Consider the following 27,737-nt stretch of genomic DNA (forward strand, 5'->3'; position numbering starts at 1 on the left):
GTCTTCATCATTACTTAACCTGGATACACTCACTCACTCTCTTTTTTTTTTTTTTGTGAGACACGGTCTTGCTATGTTGCCCAAGCTGCTGTCCAATTCCTGGCCTCAAGCAATCCTTCCATCTCAGCCTCATAGATCGATTATTATAATTACCTTTCTATAGTAATTTCATCCTTCTCCACGCTGCTAGGGTGAAATATGTTTTACATAAAACACTCTTTCTCTCCTGCCTAAAACTATTTTATTATGTGTCATTATCTTATGAAATTAAGCCAAACATGATCAGGACACTGCCTACTTCTCCCGCCCTATTCCCTACTCTTCACGTTTCAACAATACACAGGCCCCACTGATCTATTCCTACTAGGTATTGTGCCTATGAACCATTTGTTCTGCACTGGAAACATCATGTTTTAGGACCAACACAGCTATACCATTCCCAGAAGCCTGTTCATTATGTCTTATCTACCTGGCTTGTTTGCAAAGCAACTCCTCTGTACAGCTCTTGTGCTCTGGACATACCTCTAATCATAAAGCTGGGAATTCCGCATTCAAGCTTTGTGTTTTATCTTTCTCTGTCACTTAAGCAGACTATGAATTCCTTAAAGGTACAGATTGTGTTCTACAGATCTCTACCTGCAGTGTCTGTCAGTGTCCAAAACACAATACCTAATAAAGTTTACTGAACTCAAACCACAGGAAACTGAACTAAACCAAGAAATAAATCTGACTTTGCTATGGCTCTCAAATGTAAAAAGGCAGACTGTTTTCCTAATTAAAAAAAAAAAAAAAAAAGGTTCTCTTAGCTAAACCAAGCTTGTCCAACCTGTGGCCTGCAGCCTACATGTGGCCCAGGATGGCGCTGAATGTGGCCCATACAAATTCATAAACTTTCTTAAAACACTATGATTTTTTGGGGGGATTTTTTTTTAAGCTCATCAGCTATTGTTAGTGTTAGTGTATTTTATGTGTGGCCCAATGTGGCCCAGGGAAGCCAAAGATTGGACATCTCTGTCCTTAAGAAAAGTTTTTTAATAGAAGATTTACTATGCATCTTAGTGTAGTTCAAAAGTACATAGAATGATATATTTCCTGGGTTTTGCATCAAGAAAAAGTATGTAAAGTGTATGCACACTGTGAGGAAATCTTTCATGTTGGTTACTGAATATCTTCTAATGCTATGTTTCCTATTATTTAGCTGGCATAAAAAATGAGAGAAACTCGGGCCAGGCACGGTGGCTCACGCCTGTAATCCCAGCACTTTGGGATGCTGAGGTGGGCCGATCACGAGGTCAGGAGATCGAGACCATCCTGGCTAACATGGTGAAACCTCGTCTCTACTAAAAACACAAAAAAATTAGCCGGGCATGGTGGCAGGCACCTGTAGTCCCAGCTACTTGGGAGGCCGAGGCAGGAGAATAGTGTGAACCCGGGAGGCGGAGCTTGCAGTGAGCCGAGATCACGCCACTGCACTCCAGCCTGGGCGACAGAGCGAGACTCCGTCTCAAAAAAAAAAAAAAAAGAGAGAGAGAGAAACTCTTACAGTGATAAATAAATGTTAATAAATTACAAGTTTTCTTTGCAGGCATAGCCTTTATGTCTATTAATTATCTAAGGGAAAATAAATAGCATGAGAAAGCAAAGCATACATGACAAACACTAGAGCTATCACGGGAGAATCAGTGAGCTCACAAATTCAAGTCTTGTCACTTTCAAGCCCAAGAATAATTATAAATGAACAGGAAGAATACTGCAATCAGTTGTGGACTTAAAAGAAATTGTGAAGGCCAAGCGCGGTGGCTTGTGCCTGTAATCCCAGCACTCTGGGAGGTTGAGGCGGGCAGATCACGAGGTCAAGAGATCGAGACCATCCTGGCCAACATGGTGAAACCCCGTGTCTTCTGAAAATACAAAAATTAGCTGGGCATGGTGGCGCGTGCCTGTAGTCCCAACTACTCGGGAGGCTGAGGCAGAAGAACTGCGTGAACCCAGGAGGCAGAGGTTGCAGTGAGCTGAGATCATGTCACTGCACTCCAGCCTGGTGACAGAGTGAGATTCCTTCTCAAAGAAAAAAGAAACTGTGAACCCAGTACAGTGGCTCACGTCTGTAATCTAAGTACTCTGGGAGGCTGAGGCAGGAGGATCACTAGAGACCAGGAGTTCAAGACCAGCATGGACAGCATAGCAAAACCCTGCCTCTATATTAAATAAATAAATATGTGCATATATATATAGATACGCATGTACATATATATTAACTTGAAAAAAAATTCTTTAGTCACTGTGGAATAGAGTGGCTCCATTATCTCTCTTTCATTCTGGTGCCCTGATTATATCAACAGAATTTCAAACTTCCATAAAGACTGTCATGGCCTTTTATAGCTACTTATTCTTGTTGTGCTGTTTTGTTTTTTTACCTCAAACTTTAGACTTTATAGGCCTACTCATTCTAATGACATATTTTCAAGTAGAAATTCCCCACACCTTTTTACAACTGAAGTCTTATTCAAACAGGCCATCATCATCTTGATCTTACAGAGTAATTTCTTTTTAAAACGTTAATATAAAACCTTACATTATCCTTCATTTCTACCGATTAAAGATTTTTCTTTTTCAAACTGCATTCCTTCATCTATCGTATACATTCCACTTTGACTATTTCCAAAATTGAAATGTTGCCTCCAATATTTACAATAAGATAACAAGGAAATGAACATAACCAGATATTAACCTTCAGCATTTACCCAAAAGCTGTGCTTTGATAAAAGACTTTATGAAACAAGGTCTTTTAAAAATCAAAGGGGTGTGCTCAAGAATACGATAAATATTTGGAATGCTGCCTGTGTGGTATATTTGTTTAATAAAATAGTATGCCAGCCTGAGCAACATGGTGAAACCCCATCTCTATTAAAAATACAAAAAAACTAGCCAGGCATGGTGGTGCACACCTGTAGTCCCAGCTACTCGAGAGGCTGAGCTGGGAGGATCGCCTGAGCTCGGGAAATTGAGGCTGCAGTGGACTGAGACTGCGCTACTGCACACTAGCATGGGGGAAGGGAGAAAAACCCTGTCTTAAAAAAAAAAAAAAGGTACGATGCTATTTTGAAAACAGCAAACCCCAATGAGTCTACCAGATTTATCGATTTATTAGAAAGAGACTATATTTGATTATAAATCCATTTAAAAATACTCATCTGACTTCATATTCTTAAGCTATTAAGTATCTCTAAATAAACTATATAAATCGAAGATGTTAGTGGTAAACACTGATGTGGAGAAGTCTTTTATTTCTCTTTGTGTTATTGCAAACAATTCCTGTTGACTGAATTGCAAGATTAAAAGAAAAATCAAACACTTCACAGATTCCACCTGAAGGAGAGAAAATGCACTGTTGTGTAATACTGTGGTTTTCTTGGATGTCTTTAGTGTCAACAGTAGCTCAGTCATTCTTACCTCACTTTTACTACCTACTAATCTTAAATGTGAAAAAGGAGAAAAGTTCCAGCATCAATGTGCAGCAGGAAAAAGAACAACTGTTGCTCCAGTCATTGTTATACAACTTACTTTCTCTCCAGAGCCCAAAGATTCCAAAATAGCAATACAAAAGTGTGTTTATAGTCACCCACAAGTACTGAAAACACGGTTCATTTTAATTAATATTAAAATCTAGTAGATATGGCTATACAAAATAGTCCTGAAATTGAAAGTGAGTCAGTCAGTACCATAGGAAAGATAGTTAAATAAATAAGTAAAAAGTGAGTCAGCAAAGCTCTCTGCGTATCACTGATACTGAATGGGCATATGAGAATATATTAAAATAGAGGCAAAAAAACACAAAACAAGGGATTGTTTTGATTTTGATCACAACAGAGAAAGATAAGGTTGGGGGGAGAACCAGAAAACAGCAAGAAAAAGTAAAAGAGGAATACAAAAAAGAAATGGAAATAGTTTGATGATGCACCAATGATACTTCTACAGTAATTACAACTATTGGAACAACCTGAAAAACCATCAAAGCAGTACAGCAACCAAAATGTCACCAAGTCCACTCTATGTGGTCTGGGAACCCAGAGGGCACCAGGCTCTTTTAGGAGGACTGCGATGTCAAACAATTTCCTTGATAATACTAAGACACTACTGCCTTTTTCATTATGTTGACATTTGCATTCATGGTGCAAAAGGAGCAGCGACATCTTAGGATAAATCCAGGCAATGACACCAATTGTCTTAGTAGTCACTTTATTTCTAATTGTCACACATTCACAACTTATTTTGTGATTAGGAATTAGCTTCACTTAAACATCCTCAATGAATCTATAAAAATTATCAATTTAATCATCTCAATACCTAACTACATGGAGACACAGAAAAGGATTTAAGTATCAACTATCAAAGCATGATGGCTGTTCTAAAGGAAAACACATTTGTGATTGAGTTTTGAGCTCCAGTGGACACTTTTTAAAACAGAATACTATAGGTGAGTTTAAAATGCTAGTCACAGGCCAGGCACAGTGGTTCATGCCAGAACTTTGGGAGGCCAAGGTGGGAGGATTGCTTGAGTCCAGGAGTTTGAGACCAGCCTGGACAACATGGTGAAAGCCCATTGCTACAAAAAATACAAAAATTAGCCAGGCATGGTGGCACACGCCCTTAGTCCCAGCTATTCAGGACTGAAGGTAAGAGGATCGCCTGAGCCTGGGAGGTAGAGGCTGCACTGAGCTACCATCAGGCCACTGCACTCCAGCCTGGGTGACACAGCGAGACCCTGCCTCTAAATAAAACAAAACAAAATAAAATGCTAGTCAAAGAATCTTAGCACACATCCCATATGCATTAATCTGCTTACCTCCAGGAGTAGAAGGGTCTCCTGTTCAGTCCATTCTCTTCCAGCACTAGCACCTTTACTCTAAGGAAACAAAATCAGAAATTATTTGCTCATTTTTAAATGCTGAAGATGGAGCTCAGTAGAATTCCTTTCCAAGCTCAGGGGACTGTGTTACGCAAACTATCATGGTAAGTCTTTGACTAACAGGAATAAAACACTTTAAGGAGCCTAAACTTCTATAAGAAATGCTGGCTTATTTCAAAGACTGGCCAGGCGTGGTAGCTCCTGCCTGTAATCTCAGCCCTTGGGAGGGCAAGGTGGGTGGATCACTTGAGGTCAGGAGTTCTAGACAAGCCTGGCCAACACGGTGAAACCCCATCTCTACTAAAAATACAAAAATTAGCCGAGAGTGGTGGTTCATGCCTATAGTCCCAGCTGCTCCAGTGACTGAGGCAAGAGAACCCAGGAGGCAGAGGTTGCAGTGAGCCAAGACCGCACCATTGCACTCCAGCCTGGGCAACAGAGCGAGACTATCTCAAAAAAAAAAAAAAAAAAAAAAAAACACACACAAAAACCAAAACCAAAAAAGACTTCCTGCTGTCAAACAAGGACCCATAACTATTTGGATATGTTATTTCTATTATTTTGATACTTAACAGTATCTTTGGCAAGCTAAAAAGGCATATTGTTTTACTGCATACCATAAATCAGCTGTAATATCACAAACATAGTACACATCTTGGTAATAACTTGAAGAGACTACTTCTTCCACGATTCAAGGATCAGATGTACTACACACGTAAAACACTGACAGGTTCTTGATTCCAACTGCAATAAGCCCATATTATCTCATTTTAAAACATTTCTCAATTATGAAAGAATCTCCAAGTGAGTCCCTAAACTCAAAATCACCTTTTCCATGTGAGTCCCTTATAGTTTATGATTCATGTGACGATGTGAGTATAACAGAAGTGAGACTGGCTTGTGTAAAAACTAAAATTTAATTGATTAATTCATACTTCTTTATCTGCAGACCCTGCTGCATTCACTCATCTTCAGGGGACTTGATTTGTAGTATAGCTGATACTATCATGCAGCTATAAACATTACTAATTCAAAATATACATTCTAACATATTTCCCTCTCTCAAAACTCTATTTTGAGAGATTACCATTTAATAAATAAACATTTCTACAATCTGTGATTTTCCTGTATATGTCAATAAAGTTTCTCAGTTTAGATAATTAAAACTCTCAGTGCATTAGTGCTACACACTGCATGAAAAAAATTACATTCTGTATGAAGGAAGAAAGAAAAAACAAAAATAAAACAACAACAAAATTAAACCCTGATTTGCTACATCTCTGGGGCATTCAATTCATAGCATTCTGACATACGCTGTTCACTTGCACAAAAAAAAATAATGCATCAAAAATAAGTAGTCTTTGAACTAAAGAATAAACAGTTGACCTAAGCATTGCAGAACTAAGAATTAAACTCCTACAGTATGGCTTTGTGAGAAAGAAAAGATGCCTGTATCTATAACGCAGAATATACAGCTCAGGTCCCCAAGGATTACTTTTCTTTTCTTTTTTTGAGATGGAGTCTCGCTCTGTTGCCCAGGCTGGAGTGCAGTGGCACGATCTTGGCTCACCGCAAGCTCCGCCTCCCGGGTTCACACCATTCTCCTGCCTCAGCCGCTGGGACTACAGGCGCCCGCCAACACGCCCGGCTAATTTTTTTGTATTTTTAGTAGAGACAGGGTTTCACCGTGTTAGCCAGGATGGTCTCGATCTCCTGACCTCGTGATCCGCATGCCTCGGCCTCCCAAAGTACTGAGATTACAGGTGTGAGCCACCGCGTCCAGCCCCGCAAGGATTACTTTAAGATAACCAAAGGTTCTTTTAAAAAACCAAAATCAGAGGTAATCACCAATCAGATTTGGAGCCCCAAGAAGAACAAAATTCATTAACATTTAATCTAAATTCTGAAGAAACAAAACCTGAGCAAATATAAGGAAGATCTCTACAACCTAGACACAGACATTTATAGGATAGGTCCTCAACAACCATTTCTCCACTTCTCAGCCACAAAGTGTAGAAAGAATTTTTTCTGCCCCACAGACTTAAGTCAATGTTTCTTCTTCTTCTTCTTCTTTTTTAGATGGAGTCTTGCTCTGTCACCCAGGCTGGAGTGCAGTGTCATGAACTCGGCTCACTGCAACCTCTTCCTCCTGGGTTCAAGCGACTCTCGAGCTTCAGCCTCCTGAGTAGCTGGAATTACAGGCAGCCGCCACCATGTCTGGCTAGTTTCAGTATTTTTTTTTTTAGTAGAGACAGGGTTTCACCATGCCCAGCCCGTTTCCTCTCTTGATAACAATTGGCTCTACAATATAAGCCTCATTAGAGCCCACAAAATGACTGCTGAAGCTTTCATATGATTTTAAAATATTTTTTTCTTGTATTAGGCTGAGCATGGTGGTTCATGCTTGTAATCCTAGCACTCTGGAAGGTAAAAAAGGTCGATCACTGGAGCTCAGGAGTTCAAGACAAACCAGGACAACACAGTGAGATGTTCTCTCTTTAAAAAAATAAAAATAAAAAAAAAGCCGGGTGTGGTGGCTCACACCTGTAATCCCACCACTTTGGGAGGCTGAGGCAGGAGAACTGGTCGAACCCGGGAGGCAGAGGTTGCAGGGGAGACTGCGCCACCGCACTCCAGCTTGGGCGACAGAGCGAGACTCTGTCTCAAAAAAAAAAGGGTGGGGGGGGGGCAGGCCAGTGGCTCAGGCCTGTAATCAGAGCACACCGGGAGGCCAATGTGGGTGGATAACCTAAGGTCAGGAGTTCAAAGACCAGCCTAGTCAACATGGAGAAACCCTGTCTCTACTAAAAATACAAAAATTAGCCAGGCGTGGTGGCACACGCCTGTAATCCCAGCTATTTGGGAGGCTAAGGCAGGAGAATCACTTGAACCGTGGAGGTGGAGGTTGCAGTGAGCCAACATCGCGCCACTTCACTCCAGCCTGGGAGAAAAGGGCAAACTCAGTCTCAAAACAAAAAATTCTTTTGTATTTCTGGAGGTATGATACATACACAATAAAATACACAAATTAGTATAAAACTTGACACAATTTAACTTATATGACAATGTAATAATACTCAAATCAAAACCCAAAAGGCTCCCTCCTTTAAAACTCAATTGATAGCCACTCACAAAAGTATATACTAGTCTGACTTCTGTAACCATAGGTTAGTTTTTCTTGGATCTGAATTTTGTATTAACAAAAACAGGTGTGAGCCACTGTGCCTGGCCAGAAGATGTCTTTTATACTGACTCACATGTTGACCTTTTTTCTATCACTCTTTATTCTTCCATTAGATCCAGTCAGGTCCCAAACTGTTGTGTCAAATTATAGTTTACCCTGAATCAGGACTTTTGTCATGTTTCTAAATAATGTAAACTTTGTAACAGTTTATTCAATTTAATCTCCTTCTGCCTTTCTGCCATTCTTGTAATTTCTACACGTTATAAATCCCAAATATTATTGTTTAAACAACCTGTATTACTTTATATTTAACCACACAGATTACCCTTTTCTCTGCTCCTTATTCCTTCATGGAGTCATGTGCTTTCATCTGGGATCATTATCCTTCATGCTGAAGACATTCCTTTACTTTTCTTATACTGTGTGCTAGCGATAACTTCTGTACATTGTGAATGCCTACAAACGTCTTTATTTCACCTTCAATTTTGAAAGTAATGTCTACTGGATAGAGAATTCCAGATAGATAGTTTTTCTTTTCCAATTTAAAAATGTCCTTTGGCTTTGATCATTTTTGTTGAAAAGTCAGCTATCAGTTTTATTATTGTTCTTTTGAATGTAATATGTTCTTCTCTACCCTCGCCCCCACCCTCCATGTCTGCTTTTAAGATGTTAGTTTTTAAGAAATTAAGCATAATGTACCCGAGTGTGGTCTTCTCTCTATATAAATTTGGATCTGTTCTTTTTATGTGTGTGTTTTTCAGTAGAGGCAAGGCTGCTCTTGAACTCCTGGCCTCAGACAACCCTACTGCCCTGGCCTCCCAAAGTGTTGAGCTTGGCCTGGCTCTGTCTTTCTTGTTTTGTGAGTTGGTATCTTTTTATTTGTTCTGAAGTCTTTTTAGCCATTATATATTCAAGTATCACTCCTCCTCCATTCATTCTCTTATGGGTTTCTAATGATAAACATTAATTCTTTGGACTGTATCATTCATTTTTCTTTTTCTTCTTTTAATAATAGAGACACAGTCTTGCTATGTTGTCCAGGCTGGTCTCAAACTCTGGGGCTCCAGTGATCCTCCTGCCTTGGCCTCCCAAAGTGCTGAAATTACAGGTGTGAGCCACCGTGTCCAGCCTGAACTCTATCTCACATATCTGTTCCACTCTCCTCTCTTTGTCCTGGCCCCTCCCTACCTCAATCCAATTTTTTCTCTTGGTACTTTAGTTTCAATATATCTACTAATTTGTCTCTGAGTTCACTAACCTGTCTTCTGCTGTATGCAGTCGTTATTAAACCTATCAAATAATTTCAAGTATACTTTTCAGTTCTAAAATATTCATGATTCTTTTTACAGATTCTAATTCTCTCTTCAAATTCTCCATTTTCCCCTCGAATTTCTCTAATAGTGTTATTTTTAAAATACCTATCTACTAAGTCATATAGGAATATAAAAGGTAAGATAAATCATAATTGTTTTTAAAAATACCATCAGATTTGAGTAGAAAGCTCATTAGATGTATCTTAGAAGGACTAAGATGTGCTGGATTGCAGCCCATGTGTGATTAGAAAAATTACCTTTGCTAATGTTTTCTTGGAGTAAATGTCAGTACGGAGACCAAAGTTCTGCAAATCAACTGGTTTTTCCTTGTTTTTCTCAGGAAAATTTAGCATCTGTTGAGCAGCAGGAACCTGAGTCAAATAAATGATAAATGGCTGAGTTAGCCTCTTTAAAGTCAAGAGGGTAAATGTTTTTAAAAATTTGTTTGGGCCAGGCGCCGTGGCTCACACCTATAATCCCAGCACTTTGGGAGGCCGAGGCAGGCGGATCACAAGGTCAGGAGTTCAAGACCAGCCTGACCAACGTGGTGAAACCCGTCTCTACTAAAAATACAAAAATTAGCCGGGCGTGGTGGCACGTGCCTATAATCTCAGCTACTCAGGAGGCTGAGGCAGTAGAATTGCTTATAACCCAGAGGTGGAAGTTGCAGCGAACCAAGATCATGCCACTGCACTCCAGCCGGGGGAACAGTGCAAGATTCCGTCTCAAAAAAAAAAAAAAAGTTTAATATTGGCACTTAAACCACTCTTGGTGGATTTCCTACAAAAAACAATAAATACCCACACTTCTACACTATACTTCTAACAAAAATTCAACATATAAGTCACATTTTGGTGTCCCTTTAAATCCCAGAAAGGATAACAAATTTTCATTACTATCTTCTATTTCACAATGGGACAAAATTTATACCTTAGGTTCCTGTGAATCCAACTTAATGCTATATATAATTTGTTTGACATAATCTGTTTTGATAATGTATATATGGATATACACTTTACAAATCTTAGGACAAGTTATAAAGATTTCTTTGCTTCACATTTCTAGAACACAGATTGAAGGAAGGGAAAGAAGATTTTGCATCATCTGCTTACTTATGAGTGTCTTTTTGATGACAGAAGGATAATTTACTTTTATGCATATAAAAGTAAATTAATAATTTGACAGAGTAAGGCATTCGGTCTTGGGATTGGTGGGACAGCATTAACTTAAACACTATATATTCTTTTGGACTGTAATATTTACAGTACACCAAAATACACACACAAGCAAGGATCAAAGAAATAGCACTAATAATAGCATTATAGTATAATAATAATTGTTTCTAAATAGATATGCTATAAATGGCCATTTGTTACTATCCAGGTCTGATGAAAAGTCAACATTAATTTACCTGAGGTGATCGAAGATGCAGAGGCACAAGCCCAGAGGGGGTATCAGCTAATACATTAAAATGAGGAGTAGGAGGAGGTCCCATTGCCATGGGTCTACTTTCCGGGTCAACTTGGTAATTAACGAGTCCCCACTGCTCTAAAAAGGCATGGACCCTAAAGAATAAAGCTCGGAAAGTTAAAATCTAAAGAATCAACTTCATGTGCTTTTACTATCATCATCATGCCATTAAAAAACAGAAACAATAAAACCAGTAAATGTGCTCAGCAGGCTGTCAAACATCACAAACTACTTGACAGATTTTGTTATGTGACGAACAATTTCTACAAGCCACAAGTAATGTTGATAACACAGCACCCCCAAACCTATTACAAAGCCTAATCATTTCAATCACAGAAATGAGAGCACGAATACGCATTTAGGTCCATGGTAATAAAAGAACTCACACATAGACCAAATACACACATTAAAAAAATCCGCATTTTTCGTGACAGAGTCTCGCTCTGTCTCTAAGGCTGGAGTGCAATGGTGCGATCTCAGCTCACTGCAACCTCCTCCGCATCCTTGGTTCAAGAGATTCTCCTGCCTCAGCCTCCCAAGTAGCTGGGATTACAGGTGACCATCACCATGCGCAGCTAATTTTTTGTATTTTTAGTAGAAATGGGTTTTCGCCATGTTGGCCAGACTGGTCTCGAACTCCTGACCTCAGGTGATCTACCCACCTCGGCCTCCCAAAGTGCTGGGATTACAGGTGTGAGCCACCATGCCTGGCCGTTTTTTTTTTTTTTTTAATTTCGGCAGAGCTAGGGCGCAGAGCTTATCCACTCCCAACCTGAATCCACTCCATCCCTGGTTATTTTATGATTTGACTAAAAAATTTAAAATGTGAACTGTAAAATCTAGAAGGCTAAATTAAATATTTTATTTTGTGTTTTTTTTTTTGAGACACAATCTTGCTCTGTTGCGCAGGCTGGAATGCAGTGGGACGATCTCAGCTCACTGCAATCTCTGTCTCCTGAGTTCTCCTGCCTCAGCCTCCCCAATAGCTAAGATTACAGTCATGTGCCACCACGCTTGGCTAATTTTTATATTTTTAGTAAAGATGGGGTTTCGCCATGTTGGCCAGGCTCGAACTCCTGACCTCAGGTGATCCGCCCATCTTGGCTTCTTGAAGTGCTGGGAATACAGGTGTAAGCCACTGCACCCAGCCTAAATTAAATATTTAAAATTTTCAACCTCTAATGCTGAACACAGTGCTCATGCCTGCAATCACAATACTTCGGGAGGCGGAGGCAGGAGAATCGCTTGAGGCCAGGAGATCGAGACCAGCCTTGGCAACACTGTGAAACCCCATCTTGACAATAAAATTAAATTAATAAAATAGAATAAAAATAAAATAATTAAATTGAATGAAATGAAAGGAAACAAAATATAATCAACCCCTAAATGGCATAACTAAAATTAGGTGTTTTACCCAGTTGAAACAACCAGTTTAATCAAGCAAACATTAGACAGCATGCATAAGTAAATTCCTACAGTTAAATGTCTCAGAAAAAGTCAAACAGTTTACCTCATCACAGCACACACATCTCCAGTCAAGTTCCTCCGACAAGCAGTGCTAGTTAAATACTCTTGGGGGTTTAGACGATACGTGTCAATCATAAAATTTCGATATGCCAAGTATCTAAAAAGCAATGGCAAAATTCATAAGGTGGACATGTATCCTCTCAGAAACAATGTTACTTAGAAACTCAAAAATCTTCAGATTCCTTAAAAATACAACAACAAATTAAGACAAGAGCATAAAAAACATTGATATTATATTGCACATTTAAAGTTATGAGTGAATTTAGAACCACGAATATGCAAAACAACTGTTTATTAATGTATAACAACAAGTAATCTAATGACATTAATGTGAAGTAACATAAATTCAAACTTGGTCATGGTGGTAGTTAACTGCAGAATTGGAAACTAACACGTGGTTACATAGGCTATCTGCCTCACTACCACATATCTATACTTTACTGTGTACAGGGCACTGTTATAAGCAATGTATGTCTGACAATTGAATCCTCATAATCGCTCTATATTGCAGGTAGGGTCTGCTATCATCCCATTTATGGGTGAGGAAACAAACACTGAGTTGTTAGAGAATATGTCCTAGCCACAGGGTTGGTAACTGATGGAGCCAGAATTCAATGCTGCCAGTGTGGTAGCTCTTCAATCTATGCTCTCAACCTCTGCTGCCTATCACTTCTGTATTTCACACATGTCATGTGGATTTGGCTCTGCAAATAGCTATGTAATTTCTCACAGCAGTTCTTTAAGGGAGATCACGGCGGGGCAATAAGTAGAATCCATGAGACCAAATTCAGAAAAGAACATACAAAAATGGAGAGAGAAATTGAGATTCTGTTACAGCAGATACTAAGGACTTCTGTCACAAAATATAGTACTTAACAACAAGAGTGTTAAGGACTTTGAGACCTAGCAACAGTTCTTGGCACACAAAGAAAACAAAATGCAGGCAGCCAAGATCACACCACTGAACTCCAGCCTGCATGACGGAATGACTTTGTCTCAAAAAAAAAAAAAAAAAGTAACAGATTAATACCCTGATTAATACATGGGAGGGTATGTACAGTATTGACAGATATGTACTTATATATAGGGACAAGGGTTCCAGAAGTATATACTGATGAATCACCAGGGAAAGACAAAAAGTACTTCCGGCCAAACTTCTTCCTTCCAATAAGAGTTTTTCTATTTCCAATGCAAAACCACAAAAATCCTTTATGCAATTAAGCTCCATTCACATGCAGCTATATCATCATATCTCTCTTTTAATTAGCAGTCACACATCAGGAAGATAAAGATTCTATTTTCTCCTGGATGAATAGAAACAATCCAAAACATACATTCACACACAAGTTGAAAGTTGTTAGGACAGGCCGGGCTTGGTGGCTCACGCCTGTAATCCTAGCACTTTGAGAGGCCGAGGCAAGTGGATCACTTGAGGTCAGGAGTTCGAGACAAGCCTGGCCAACATGGTGAAACCCAATCTCTACTAAAAATACAAAAATTAGCCAGGTGTGGTGGTGCATGCCTGTAGTCTCAACTACGTGGGAGGCTGAGGCAGGAGAATAGCTTGAACCCAGGAGGCAGAGGCTGCAGTTAGCTGAGATTGCAACACTGCACTCCAGTCTGAGTGACAGAGCGAGACTCCATCTCAAAAAAAAAAAAAAAAAAGGAAGAAAGAAAAAGAAAGTTGTGAGGATAGACCTGAATTCATTATAGTAAAAATTGGTTTAAAATCCAAACTTTAACTCTAAGAGTTGATGTGCATATAGTTCAAGGTTTAGAAATAAAAGAATACTCTAGGCAACATGGTGAAACCCCCGTCTCCACCAAAAAATAAACAGATAGATAGATAAATAAACATCAGCCAAGTGTGGTGACATGTGCCTGTAGTCCCAGCTACTTCAAGAGGCAGAGATGGGAGGATCCTTTGAGTTCAGGGGGCAGAGATTTCTGTGAGCCAAGATCATGACACTGCACAACAGCCTGGGCAACAGAGTGAGACCCTGTCTCAAACAAACACCAAAAAAAACCCCCCAAAACAAAAAACGAAACTAGATACAATTTCCTGTGTACCATGGAATGCTATGCAAATGAGATATGAACACTGTTCTGAAAGGAGTATTTGCAAACTTCCAAGAATCAGCAATAAGGAACTCAGGTGGATGCTTGAAGAGCCCCTACCGCACACAGGCAAATAAACAAGTTTTCTAAAACACTGGCCTCACATTTCTGGAGTCTTGGATTTGTTTTTTCCATTGAAGAACTCAGGAAGAGCACGCCGTTCAATCACATGAATACTGAAAAGAAGAAGAAAAAAAGATTTAGGAGTGTTCTTTTTTTTTTTTTTTTTTTTTGAGACGGAGTCTCGCTCTGTCGCCCAGGCTGGAGTGCAGTGGCGGGATCTCGGCTCACTGCAAGCTCCGCCTCCCGGGTTCACGCCATTCTCCTGCCTCAGCCTCCCAAGTAGCTGGGACTACAGGCGCCCGCCACTACGCCCGGCTAATTTTTTGTATTTTTAGTAGAGACGGGGTTTCACTGTTTTAGCTGGGATGGTCTCGATCTCCTGACCTCGTGATCCGCCCGCCTCGGCCTCCCAAAGTGCTGGGATTACAGGCGTGAGCCACCGCGCCCGGCCGGAGTGTTCTTTTTAAAAGAATAAAATCATTAAATATTCTAAGTAAAAGTGATAAATCCAAAACCTGAGTACTGCTTGCCAAAATTAATTGGCTTACACTAGTTTCTATGTATTAACAGCATACAAAAAAGTTAAGGAAAGCTTTCTCTTTCTCACTCCCAGTACTTACTGTAGTTTTTCTATTCCCATAACCAAACTAAAAAACTACTATCGACACACTGAAAACTATACATTTTATTATTTTTTGGGATAATACAACATAACTAGATAAGAAGCCATAAGATATGAAGAATTCTTTGAAAAATGGTGACAAAAACAAAGGAGCTGGCACGGCATGGCAACAAACTGATGAAACAAATGACCAGAGTAGAGACAATGAATTTGCTAGTCTCAGCTTCTCAGGCTGTTAACATAAATGAGCCTTTGTCCAGCCCTCAGAAACACTGTGATAAATTAATAACTTTTTAGTTTTTATTTTTGGTGGAGGTGCTGGGGAGATATATTACTTTTTTAAAAATTTCACTATCAATTGCTTTTAATAATATCACAGAAGTACATTTTAACAATATATGCAAACGCTAATAATTTTATGACATGTTACAGGTCATAAGCAGAGATCAGGTAAAATGATCAGGCCTAACAGTAAAAAAAGAACAAACTGTATATCTAGCACAAAGTTTCTGCTGCTAATATAAGTGTGTGTTTCTTCCTGATGACATTTTAGTTTCTCAGTGACTTTCCAGATATGCAACATGTTAAGTAGTGGTTGCACGGCAAAGAGCAAATCAATGGTCTGGGAATATAATTCAAATTATTCACTTTTTGAATATTTGGTAACATTTAAATTAAATTGGATTTGTAGGGTCAAATACTATAAATACAATGAATTACCGGCAAACTTCTAGAAAGATAATTTCTAAGATGGATTAATGCTATATAAATATATATAATGACTCTTAAAAGAATAACCGTAAGGAACTAATTACATAATTCTAATATAACTCCTAATGTTTTCATTGTTACAGGTTAGGAAAGGCCCACTTTTAAAAAAAATTCTGTATCATAACTAGTATTTCTATTATTTAACTGCATGTAGTGTGACATGCAAAGATGATCAGGCAAATGAAAACGTTTCTGTAAACTATAATCTTACATAGTTATTTACTGTAATGATTTTCCATTTTCTAATTTTATTTTTTAATTAAAAAGAAATTCACACACACACTTTTTTTTTTTAAGACACAGGGTCTCATCCTGGGTAGCATGGTGAAACCCCGTCTCTACTAAAACTACAAAAAATTAGCCGGGCATGGTGTTGGGTGCCTGTAGTCCCAGCTACTCGGGAGGCTGAGACGGGAGAATGGCGTGAACCCGGAAGGCGGAGCTTGCAGTGAGCCGATATCGCGCCACTGCACTCCAGCCTGGGGGACAGAGCAAGACTCCGTTTCAAAAAAAAAAAAAAAACAAACAACAACTGGAGTTCAGTGACAAGATCATAGCTAGCTCACTGTAACCTAGAACTCCTAAGCTCAGGCAATCTTTCTGCCCCAGCCTCCAGGATAGCCGGGACTACAGGCATGTGCCATCACGCCTGGTTAATTAAAAAAATTTTTTGTAGAGACGGGTATCACTATGTTTGGGCTCAAGCGACCCACCAGCCTCAGCCTCTCAAAGTGCTGTGATTACAGACAAGAGCCATAGCACCAGCCCCCTTTATCTAATTTTAGAGAAAAAGAATGCCGGTTTCTCATGTGTGTCCTCTTAGGCCATTGTACTAACGAGTTTTAAAGTTTGTCAATTTTAACAGAACAACTCACTATTTTGGAATAATTAAAACAGCAAAAATATATAAAGATAGAATATGTTTTTTAAAAGTAATTTACTGTTTACTATTTAGTATGTCATATATTAATAATTGTTTATGATATAAAAATTGGTGTCAGCTGACAAAAAGCTACATTAAAAGTACATAAACATAATTTTATTGTGAGCCAAAAGCAAAATTGTGAATGTTTAAAAATTCTGAATGTTAAACACATAATTGCAAAGATAACAAGACTGAGACACTTCCAAATGTTTAAAAATAATTAAAGAGAGTAACAAATGTAATGAAGACTGATGTTCAAAGATATGCACTTATTCTGTTCCAGGTTGTATTTACTGAAAACATCCAGAAATAGCATTCGTTTTTTGTTTTGTTTTTGTTTTTGTTTTGAGACGGAGTCTCGCTCTGTCGCCCAGGCTGGAGTGCAGTGGCGCGATCTCAGCTTACTGCAAGTTCCACCTCCCGGGTTCACGCCATTCTCCTGCCTCAGCCTCCTGAGTAGCTGGGAATACACGCGCCCGCCACCACGCCCGGCTCATTTTTTTTTCGTATTTTTAGCAGAGACGGGGTTTCACCGTGTTAGCCAGGATGGTCTCAATCTCCTGACCTCGTGATCCACCCGCCTTGGCCTCCAAAAGTGCTGGGATTGCAGGTGTGAGCCATCGCGCCCGGCCTATTCAGTTGGTTTTAAATGTACTCAGGAAAGTCTCAATATTTGAGCCACAGAATGATGTCAGACAAAAATAAGGCATATCAAGTGGATCACTGACTATATTCTTTTAAATTGTCTCCAAAAAGACTTCTGGACATACATGGATTTTAAAAATCACATTCATCCTTTAAAAATAACACGGTAATCATTGAGAGCAGGCAAAAGGTATAAAAAGTACCCCAAGATTGGCCGGACGCAGTGGCTCACACCTGTAATCCCAGCACTTTGGGAGGCCAAGGTGGGTGGATCACCTGAGGTCAGGAGTTCGAGACCAGCCTGGTGGTGAGCCGAGATTGCGCCGCTGCACTCCAGCCTGGGCAACAGACTGAGACTCCGTCTCAAAAAAACAGAAACAAAAAAACCCAAGATTTTGAGTAATGGCAGCATCAGCAATGTAGACAACTTTCCTGTAAAGGTACCTTAAAGATGCTAACATCTATTTGGAGTGGTAAGTTCTGGTATTTATGTTTTTAAAAAAACAACAACAACAAAACAGTCGAGGCACAGACAAACAAAAAGACAAACAAAAATCATTCTAATATTAAATAGTCACATCTCATAAGCAATCAATAAAAAAGACAGTACTCGGCCGGGCGCGGTGGCTCACGCCTGTAATCCCAGCACTTTGGGAGGCCGAGGCGGGCGGATCACGAGGTCAGGAGATCGAGACCACGGTGAAACCCCGTCTCTACTAAAAATACAAAAAATTAGCCGGGCGTAGTGGCGGGCGCCTGTAGTCCCAGCTACTTGGGAGGCTGAGGCAGGAGAATGGCGTGAACCCGGGAGGCGGAGCTTGCAGTGAGCCGAGATCCCGCCACTGCAGTCCAGCCTGGGCGACAGAGCGAGACTCCGTCTCAAAAAAAAAAAAAAAAAAAAGACAGTACTCCAGTTACATCCAACTATGCTCGAAGCATGCCACAGTGCTTGCTGTAAAAATCAGAGACGATGCTAAGGAGGTCTGTTTTCTTAAACATTTTTACATGCCAGGATTTATATTTTAAAAGCCTCCTGATGTTAAAATATTTCCTATTAAAATAAAGCTATTATTGGGTAGTAATTTTTTTTTTTTTTTGGGAGACAGAGTATTGCTCTTGTAGCCCAGGCTGGAGTACAATGGCTTGATCTCGGCTCAATGCAACCTCTGCCTCCTGGGTTCAAGCGATTCTCCTGCCTCAACCTCCCAAGTAGATGGGATTACAGGCACCCACCACCACGCCTGGCTAATTTTTTTGTATTTTTAATAGAGACGGGGTTTCACCAGGTTGGCCAGGCTATTCTTGAACTGCTGACCTCAGGTGATCTGCCCACCTCGGCCTCCCAAAGTGCTGGGATTACAGGCATAAGCCACCATGCTGGGCAATTTTTTTCCTTTATATAAAGTAGTCCCTTCATATCTGTGGAGTTTGTGTTCCAAGACCCCCAATGGATGCCTGAAACTGTGGACAGGGCCATTAAGTTTTTTCCTACGTATACACATAAACACACACATACCTATGACAAAGTTTAATTTATAAATTAGACACAGGACTAGATTAACAAAAACCAATAATAAAAAAGAACAAGTATAACAATTTATTATACACAATTTCATGAACAGAAGATTTGTTCTTATCATAGATCTTAGCAAGCTCAGCACACAATTCTTTTTAAGTCGGAAACATTCACCTTTTCACTTAAAGGAAGCGCTTTATACATTCACTTTGGCGTATCCGAACTATCACCATCACTACTTCTATGCATTGGGGCCACTAACTAAAATAGGGGTTCCTTGAACAGAAGCACTGAAATCCCTTGACAGCTAGTCTAATAACTGATACGGATACTAAATGACTAACAGGTGGGTAGCATGTACAGTGTGTCTACATTGAAAAAAAAGGATGATTCATACTCCTGGCATGAAACTGCAAGATTTCATCCCACTACTCAGAATAACACACAACGGAAAATTATGAATTGTTTACTTCTGGAAATTTTCAGTTAGTATTTTTAATCTAGAGTTAATTTCAAGTAACTAAAAACTTTTTATAATAATTTAAAACATTTTATACTACTACTCAAGTATTTGCTTGTTTGAATTATAGCTGATTCTAAATGAGTTAGATTCAAGCTTACAAAATTTTACAAACCTAAATTACAACAAAATCTAGTTTCAATCCCTGAATTGTTTTTCTTTAAAAAAAAAAAAAAAAATTCGAGCCAGGCGCGGTGGCTCACGCCTGTAATCCCAGCACTTTGGGAGGCTGAAGCAGGTGGATCACGAGGTCAGGAGTTCAAAACCACCCTGGCCAAGATGGTGAAACCCATCTCTACTAAAAATACAAAAATTAGCCTGGCACGGCGGCGGGAACCTGTAATCCCAGCTACTCAGGAGGCTGAAGCAAGAGAATCACTTGAAACCGGGAGGCAGAGGTTGCAGTGAGTCGAGATCATACCACTGCATTCTAGCCAGGGTGACAAAGCAAGACTCTGTCTCAACAACAACAAAACAAACAAACAAACAAAAAACACAAACACATTCCAAAGATAAAAATCACTCTCCATCTCCCTTCATCCAAAGTGATAGTAATTTCTGATAAGGAACATGGGCAGAAAGGCACAACCTGATTTCAAGGAAAGTTCTTGTACTGCTCAGTACCATGCTCACAGATGGAAGTGGTCCACTCACCAGTTATAATCAAACCATGATGCATAACTAGGAATAATAATGTGATTGGTCTGCTCTGTCACATTATCTTCCCCAAGGTCAACTGATCGACTCTGATCACCTTTGGCAGGATCTTCATCTTCCTATAGAAAAGAAGACAAAGTTCAAAGAAAGAAAGAACTACAGAGAGAGATATATATAACATCTCTTACACTTCAGTTGTTAGGTTAAATAAAATGAAGCTCCCCGATTCGATCAGATATTTGAAAAACAAATTTCAAGTAAAAACAACCTTTCACAGTATTTAAGGTACAAGGTAGCCAGCTGATAAGGTTTTGTTGCTCATTTATGATGATGAGGGAATCAATGCAGAGAAGGTAGGTCTCTCATAATAAGATTAACAAGTTGATTGAAGAAAGTCTGTTTCAATGCACAGGACTTCAGACTAAATAAATAACTCATAACCCAGATCTCGTTCCATAATAGCTTGCTTCTTCCTTGTCCAGTTTTACTTAATCTGAAGTAAATGTTTACTTGATACACATTTTTATTGCATACATTTAAACGTATTTTAAATACTTTTTTTGATATTGAAATGTTTTACAATTTTCTCTCTGTGGTGATTTTATTATTTGTAACCTAATGAAATTATTTTCTATTAAGAAACCAAATTATGGGCTGGGCAAGGTGTCTCATGCCTGTAATTCCAACACTTGGGAGGCTGAGGCAGGAGGATCACTTGAGACCAAAAGATCAGGACCAGCCTGGGCAACATAGTCAGACTTTGTCTCTACTAAAAATTTAGAAATTAGCTGGACATAGTGGTACATGCCTGTAGTCCCAGCTACTTTAGAGGCTGAAGTCAGCAAGATTGCTTGAGCATGGGAGGTCAAGACTACAGTGAGCTGTGTTTCCACCACTGCCCTGCACTCCAGTCTAGGCAAGACCCTGCCTCAAAAAAAAATAAAATAAGCAAAAACCCAAATTTTGAATCAGTTTTCTTTTACAATGGTTCCACAATTTAATTTCTACCTTTTTCTTAATTCAACCTAAATCTCCTGTTACAGTATTTGAAGTGACGATCTAGTGTTACTACCTATAACAGTTTCTATAAGAATAGTAAAAAGGAATAAATTTAAAGCATGAAAACACCAAGGACTCTAGTTATTACTTAAATGATATTGAATACAAATGTGATACTAACGATGACAAGGGTAACAAATTTTATTTCCCAAATCACAGAAGCTAGCAAAAAATATTCTCAATGTTCACCTGTTTTTATTTTGGCTTTAGTTAATATATTTTTGTGTTACAGACTTTACAAATCATTAGGAGACAAAAAATTTCCCTTATTCAGAAAAAACAGGAAGAGGCTGGCATTGCAATTAATGAAGGCCAACAGTATAAGTTTTAATGACTTCAATCAGAAAACAACAAGGAAGATGACATTGTGGGAGACAGCTTTAGAGACACTACCTCTAATCCTTTTAAGATATATAAACGACTGGTATATGGCTTCAAATCCTCTTATCTTTGGCATTAAAACGAAGGAATTTGACTTTCCTTTTTAGCTGGGACCATAGGCAGGTGCCACCACACCAAGCTAATCTTTTAAGTTTTTGTTGATGCAGAGTATCCTTGTGTTGTGCTGGCTGGTTTTGAACTCCTGGGCTAAAAGTGATTCTCCCACCTGGGCCTCTCAAAGAACTAGGATTACAGACGTAAGCCACTGCACTCAGCACTTTTTATTAAAAAAAGAGTGTCTTGCACTGTCACCCAGGCTAGAGCACAGTGGCAGGATTTTGGCTCACGCCAGCATAGTAATTCCTAACCTCAAGCAATCCTCCCATCTCAGCTTTCCAAAATGCTGACGTCATAGGTGCCAATCTCTATTTACTCTAAATAATGACATATTTTTGCACAGGTAATGTTCATTAATAAGTGGCTCTTGGCTGGGTGTGTTGGCTCACACATGTAATCCCAGCACTTTGGGAGGCCGAGGCAGGTGGATCACCTAAGGTCGGGAGTTCGAGACCAGCCTGACCAACATGGTGAAACTCTGTCTCTACTAAAAATACAAAAATTAGCTGGGCGTGGTGGTGCATGCCTGTAATCCCAGCTACTCCGGAGGCTGAGGCAGGAGAATCGCTAGAACCCGGGAGGCGGAGGTTGTGGTGAGCCTAGATCATGCCATTGCACTCCAGCCTGGGCAACAAGAGCGAAACTCCATCTCAAAAAACAAAACAAAAAGAAGTGGCTCTTTGACTAAATAACTTTGATTTTTTTTTTTTTTTAATCATAAGAACAATACAGGTGAAGAGTCATAAGAAAAGAGTTTCTTGAAATACTTTTCCGGAAATCCTGTCATGCATATGTTCATCCTTGAATGTATACAACAATGATAAGGATCATCTTAGGGAATTTCTTTGCAAATGAAAAAAAAAATCTATATTCAGCAAGTTAAGGAAATTATTTCAAGAAGATTGGGGGTTAATCACACAGTCAAACATGATAGCCTGAGTAAACAAGACGCCGTTTATTTTTAAAAAATTAAATCCTACCTTAAATCTAACATGTTCCAAAAGCATAATGATTGAGGTATCGCTACAGCAGAATTCATAAAGCAGGAAGTAGCTCGCAATAAGGCTCAAGAAAGGTCAAAGTATGATTCAAAGTCTACACTGCATCAATAGAAATGGCAGTGAGAAAAATCAAGACAACACATGGCCCCTGCTCATCTGCACTGTCGGATAACATCTGAAATACTGTGGTCGGCACTGAATATTACCTTGCAACCAGGGGAGTATGAAACTAGAAATTACAGCACATGAGGGACACTAGCAGGGAGGACAAAAATTTCCTCTAAGTAAAATCTTGGGGTCCAAGAAAGTCAAGTATTTTGCCGAGCGCAGTGGCTGACACCTGTAATGCCATCACTTTGGGAGGCTGAGGCAGACAGATTGCTTGAGCCCAGGAGTTCGCAACCAGCCTGGGCAACATAAAAAACTCCATCTCTACAAAAAATAAAAAAATCAGTTGGGTGTAGTGGTGCACACAAGTAGTCTCAGCTACTCGGGAGGCTGAGGTGGGAGGGGGATCACCTGAGCCCAGGAGGTCAAGGTTACAGTGAGAACCAACAGCCTGTCTCAAAAGAAAAAACTAACAAAAACACCTTCCAGAAATGGTTCTTATATTGTATTTGTTTTCCTTAGGGGAAAAACTAAAAACAAAAAAAAATTCAAAAACCAGAAGGGCTTCATAGTCCAAAAATTGGGTTATGTCCAATTCAGTGCTTCTACTGTTCGGTACACAGGACCCTTAGAGAAGCTCTCTCACACCAGGCTTAACTGAATTGTTACCTTTCCTCCTGCTGTGACTGTTTCTTCATCCTGCTCATCTGCAAAACCAAAACACACAATTCATTTTAAAAACAGGTAAATGTTCTTTGGGTTATTTGGAAAATTAATGGTCTAAGAACTGATACTGGACAGAGAAAAGGAATGAAATAGTGCATTATTAAAGCAAAATCACTCTGAATAATTCACTAAATTAGAATTCTACACAGAAGCACAGAGGTAATTAGAAATTCAAAGCAAAGATCATTAAAAATTTCAAACAGTGGGGAATTTACAATTAATTACTACTTGAGCTAATATCATAGTCATGATCTTAATAACAGATACAGGACTTGATTACGATTCTTGTCTCCTGAGTTTTGCTAAAATAACAACATTTTGGGTTTCAGAAGAAGTGAGTAAAGAATGATGAGTAAAAAAACGGGTGATAACCAATCCCTTACTAATCTTAGTAAGACAATGCCTTCTGAGGATAGAGGGCTTAGCATGAAAGAAAGCCCAGGTAAAATTTGTAAACTAGACAGTTGATTTCCACAATGAAAAGTAAAACTGCCAGTACAGAATAGGAAAGAGGTAGTATTAAAGAACAACAAGTTACATTATTATATGCCTGTAATATTTAAGCTTTTTATCACTACTGTGACCGCTGGCACTAGGTAAGGCATGATGAAGTTCAAAAAGAACATGGGATGCTGGGTGCAGCAGTGCACATCTACAGTCCCAGATACTCTGGAGACTGAAGTGGGAGACTCACTCAAGGCAAGGAGTAGAAGTCCAGCCTGGGCAACAGAGCAAGATCTTGTCTCTTATTAAAAAAAAGAAAAGAAAAGAAAAAGGGTTGGGTGCAGTCGCTCACACCTATAATACCAACACTTTTGGTGGCTGGTACGGGACATAGCAAAAATAAACAGAAATTTATCAGATTTTGAAAAATGCTATACAAAGAATAAACATAAACATATTAGAGAGGAAGTGGGTAGGTGGACACTTCAGAGCAAGTAAACTGGTGTCTCTGAAAAGGTGGCCTTTAAGCTGAAATGTTAAGAGATGAGAAAGACAAGGTAATTATTCCACAAAAAGTAAGAAACCAAATCAAAGGGCCTCCAGTTGGATTGGCTTGGTAACTTCACAAAACAGAAAGCCACTATGAACATGAATAAAGGCTGAGCAAAATAGACAAACCACAACAGCCAAGTGCAGTGATACAAAGCATTGGCAGGAAAGTAAGACCAGGACCCAAATCGGGGTTCTGCAAAATATTTGGAAAGAGGTTACTGAACCTCTTTAAATCTCCATTTCCTCATCAATAAAACAAAACAGTTTAATAGTGAAGTGCAAACACATGTAGAACAAGACCTGACAACTACTCATGCCACCCAGAGATGGACACGGTGGCTTAATGTGTGAGTTAGTCACAAATACTTGCTAACAAGGAATAGGTGATTCTGGATGTGAAATAATATGGTATTAATTACCAGTAGGAGTTCTGCAGCTCTGCATAGTGACTATTTTTATGTAGGAAGTAACTAACAGAAAGAAATCTAGGTAAGGCTGCCAAAAACAAACACTTGGTCCGTTGGACAATGGTAAACCATAGCATAACCAACCTCTTACTAGAAACTGTTAGTTTGACTTAATAATCTCTCCCATTACTCAAATTACACATTTTTAGTCTGACGAATTTCATTCCCCAAAGTAGTCTTGGTACTCAATGGGAAGATACTTCTGATAATATTAAATTATATATGATCCCTAATATTAATAATATCCCTAATATTATTGAATGGTAATATTCAATAAATGTTCTCTTCCTCCTTTCAGATGTGAGAAAATATGCTCCACACCAAACACCTGAATCTCCTTCAGAGACCTGAAGAATGAAAGAAAGACCTATATTTGATGAGGTAGCATATAAGGCAGAATATAGAGCAGTTAAAACAACAGCTCTGGTCAGGCATGGTGGCTCACGCCTGTAATCCCAGCACTCTGGGAGGCCGAGGTGGGTGGGTCGCCTGAGGTCAGCATTTCAAGACCAACCTGGCCAACATGGTGAAACCGTGTCTCTACTAAAAATACAAAAATTAGCCGGGAGTGGTGGCAGGCGCCTGTAATCCCAGCTACTTGGGAGGCTGAGGTAAGAGAATTGCTTGAACCTGGGAAGTGGAGGTTGCAGTGAGCCAAGATCACACTATTGCACTCCAGGCTGGGTGACAAGAGCGAGACTTTGTCTCAAAACAAAAAACAAAATACAACAGCTCTGAGAACAAAAATTTACAGTTGATGGATCACTCTCCAAAATACCCACTCGTATCTGCCATCAATAATAACTGTAATTGCCAGGCCCGAAAGCTCATGCCTGTAATCCCAGCACTTTGGGAGGCTGAGGTGGGTGGATCAACTGAGGTCAGGAGTTTGAGATCAGCCTGGCCAACCCGGTAAAACCCCATGTCTACTAATAATACAAAAATTAGCTGGGCGTGGTGGCACGTGCCTGTAGTCCCAGCTACTCAGGGGGCTGAGGCAGGAGAATTGCTTGAACCCGGGAGGAGGAGGTTGCAGTAACCAAGATCGTGCCACTGTACTCCAGCCTGGGTAACAGACCGAGGCTCCGTCTCAAAAAATAATAATGACTGCAATTTATTCAAATACAGAATTCCTTAATTAGAAGATAGAACTGACATCTCATTTTCTAAAAAAGATCTTGAAAATCCCTTTCAGGTTTAAAGTTCCGTAAAGTCAAAATTTTAGTAAATACTGAAAACAATAGGTTCTCCTTTACAAGTGAAGAAAAGAAATCAAGCCTAATGTCTCATCTACAACTCTCCAGAACAAAGATGTTTAAAACTACCCCTATTTAATGTTTAAGGAGAACAAGTGATTATACTCTTTTCTATTCTCCTGCAAAATCACTCAAGAATTATACCTTACTTGTGAAAATGTACTCTAAGACTTGGAAATACTAGGAAAGGATGATGTCATTCTCATTTTATACTGCTTAGAAACTTTAATTTGGCTTACAAAGTATTAACACTCCACAGATTTTTGTTCTAACAATACAGTATCATTTTGCATACTGTTACAAAAACAATTCTTTCAGTGACATTTGAAAAAGTACTTTAATTAGAACTATTTCCTTAAAACTCATATTCTTATTCAATTATATTATTACCACCTTCCCTAGTTTGTACAAAAATATTATGCTCCAAGAGGGGGAGATCACTAAGAATGGCAACAATGGATCACAGGAAATTAACTCTCTTACAACAGTAGCAAACCAAATCATAATGGCACTAAGAATAAGCCACAGCTAATATCCTGTAGTGGCTAAGCACAAGTCTCACTTAAGAAAGGAGTATCGGCCAGTCACGGTGGCTCACGCCTGTAATCCCAGCACTTTGGGAGGCCGAGACAGGCGGATCATGAGGTCAGGAGTTCGAGACAGGCCTGAACATGGTGAAACCCCGTCTCTACTAAAAATACAAAAATTAGCTGGGCGTGGTGGCGCAAGCCTGTAATCCTAGCTACTCAGGAGGCTGAGACAGGAGAATCACTTAAACCCAGGAGGCAGAGGTTGCAGTGAGCCCTGGGTGACAGAGTGAGATTCCGTCTTAAAAAAAAAAGAAAAGAAGGAGTGTATCAAGCTGGGCATGGTGGTGTGTGCCTATAATCCGAACTACTTGGAAGACTAAGGTAGGAAAATCGCTGGAGCCCAGAAGTTTAAAGCTGTGGTGAGCTATATTACACCACTGCACTCCAGCCTGACCAACAGAACAAGACCTTGGAAGAATAGACTATCAAAGGAGATGACATATTCAAGACAGAAAGCACAGACCAGTGTATAGATTTTAGGTGCTTACCTAGATCCGCTACAGTTCCTCCTTTAACAGGTGTATTTTCACTATCTTTCTTTAGGTTCACTAGAAAAAGAAAAAAAAGAGTTATGTTTATGTGGGAAAAGTTGTACTTCTTTTTAGAAAGAAAACAGAATAGGACATGATTAAACGACATGCATCTCACTACAACTGCAACACCATTCAATACACTTTCAGGTAAAAATCATAAGCCCAGCTATGAAATATTTAACAGACTATATTCTCATTACCCAAGCACCATATAGTTTCATCATAAAAGCAAACAATACAAAATACTCAACAAAACATGAAAA

General features: G+C 39.3%; 1 protein-coding gene across 1 annotated transcript in view, besides 1 other annotated feature; it reads right to left on the reverse strand.

Annotated features, from left to right (window-relative positions):
• SMARCC1 (SWI/SNF related BAF chromatin remodeling complex subunit C1) overlaps positions 1 to 27,737 on the reverse strand; it is a 196,625-nt gene that overhangs the window by 80,543 nt on the left and 88,345 nt on the right. Inside the window, exons 12-19 of the mRNA NM_003074.4 lie at positions 27,430 to 27,489; positions 23,576 to 23,613; positions 20,238 to 20,359; positions 14,626 to 14,697; positions 12,387 to 12,500; positions 10,818 to 10,971; positions 9,664 to 9,777; positions 4,847 to 4,906 (exon numbers count right to left, since the gene is read on the reverse strand). Coding sequence (NP_003065.3) covers positions 4,847 to 4,906; positions 9,664 to 9,777; positions 10,818 to 10,971; positions 12,387 to 12,500; positions 14,626 to 14,697; positions 20,238 to 20,359; positions 23,576 to 23,613; positions 27,430 to 27,489 — 734 coding nt within the window. The remainder of the gene's footprint in view (positions 1 to 4,846; positions 4,907 to 9,663; positions 9,778 to 10,817; positions 10,972 to 12,386; positions 12,501 to 14,625; positions 14,698 to 20,237; positions 20,360 to 23,575; positions 23,614 to 27,429; positions 27,490 to 27,737) is intronic.
• Positions 2,769 to 2,972: a silencer, noted in NCBI's record as "fragment chr3:47710070-47710273 (GRCh37/hg19 assembly coordinates)". NCBI's record gives its function as "represses an EF-1alpha promoter that drives an FKBP-Casp9 reporter gene in an ReSE screen in K562 erythroleukemia cells {active_cell/tissue: K562}" and the evidence as "EXISTENCE:reporter gene assay evidence [ECO:0000049][PMID:32094911]".

Source organism: Homo sapiens, chromosome 3 (genome assembly GCF_000001405.40).
Source record: "Homo sapiens chromosome 3, GRCh38.p14 Primary Assembly".
Classification (NCBI taxonomy): domain Eukaryota; kingdom Metazoa; phylum Chordata; class Mammalia; order Primates; family Hominidae; genus Homo; species Homo sapiens.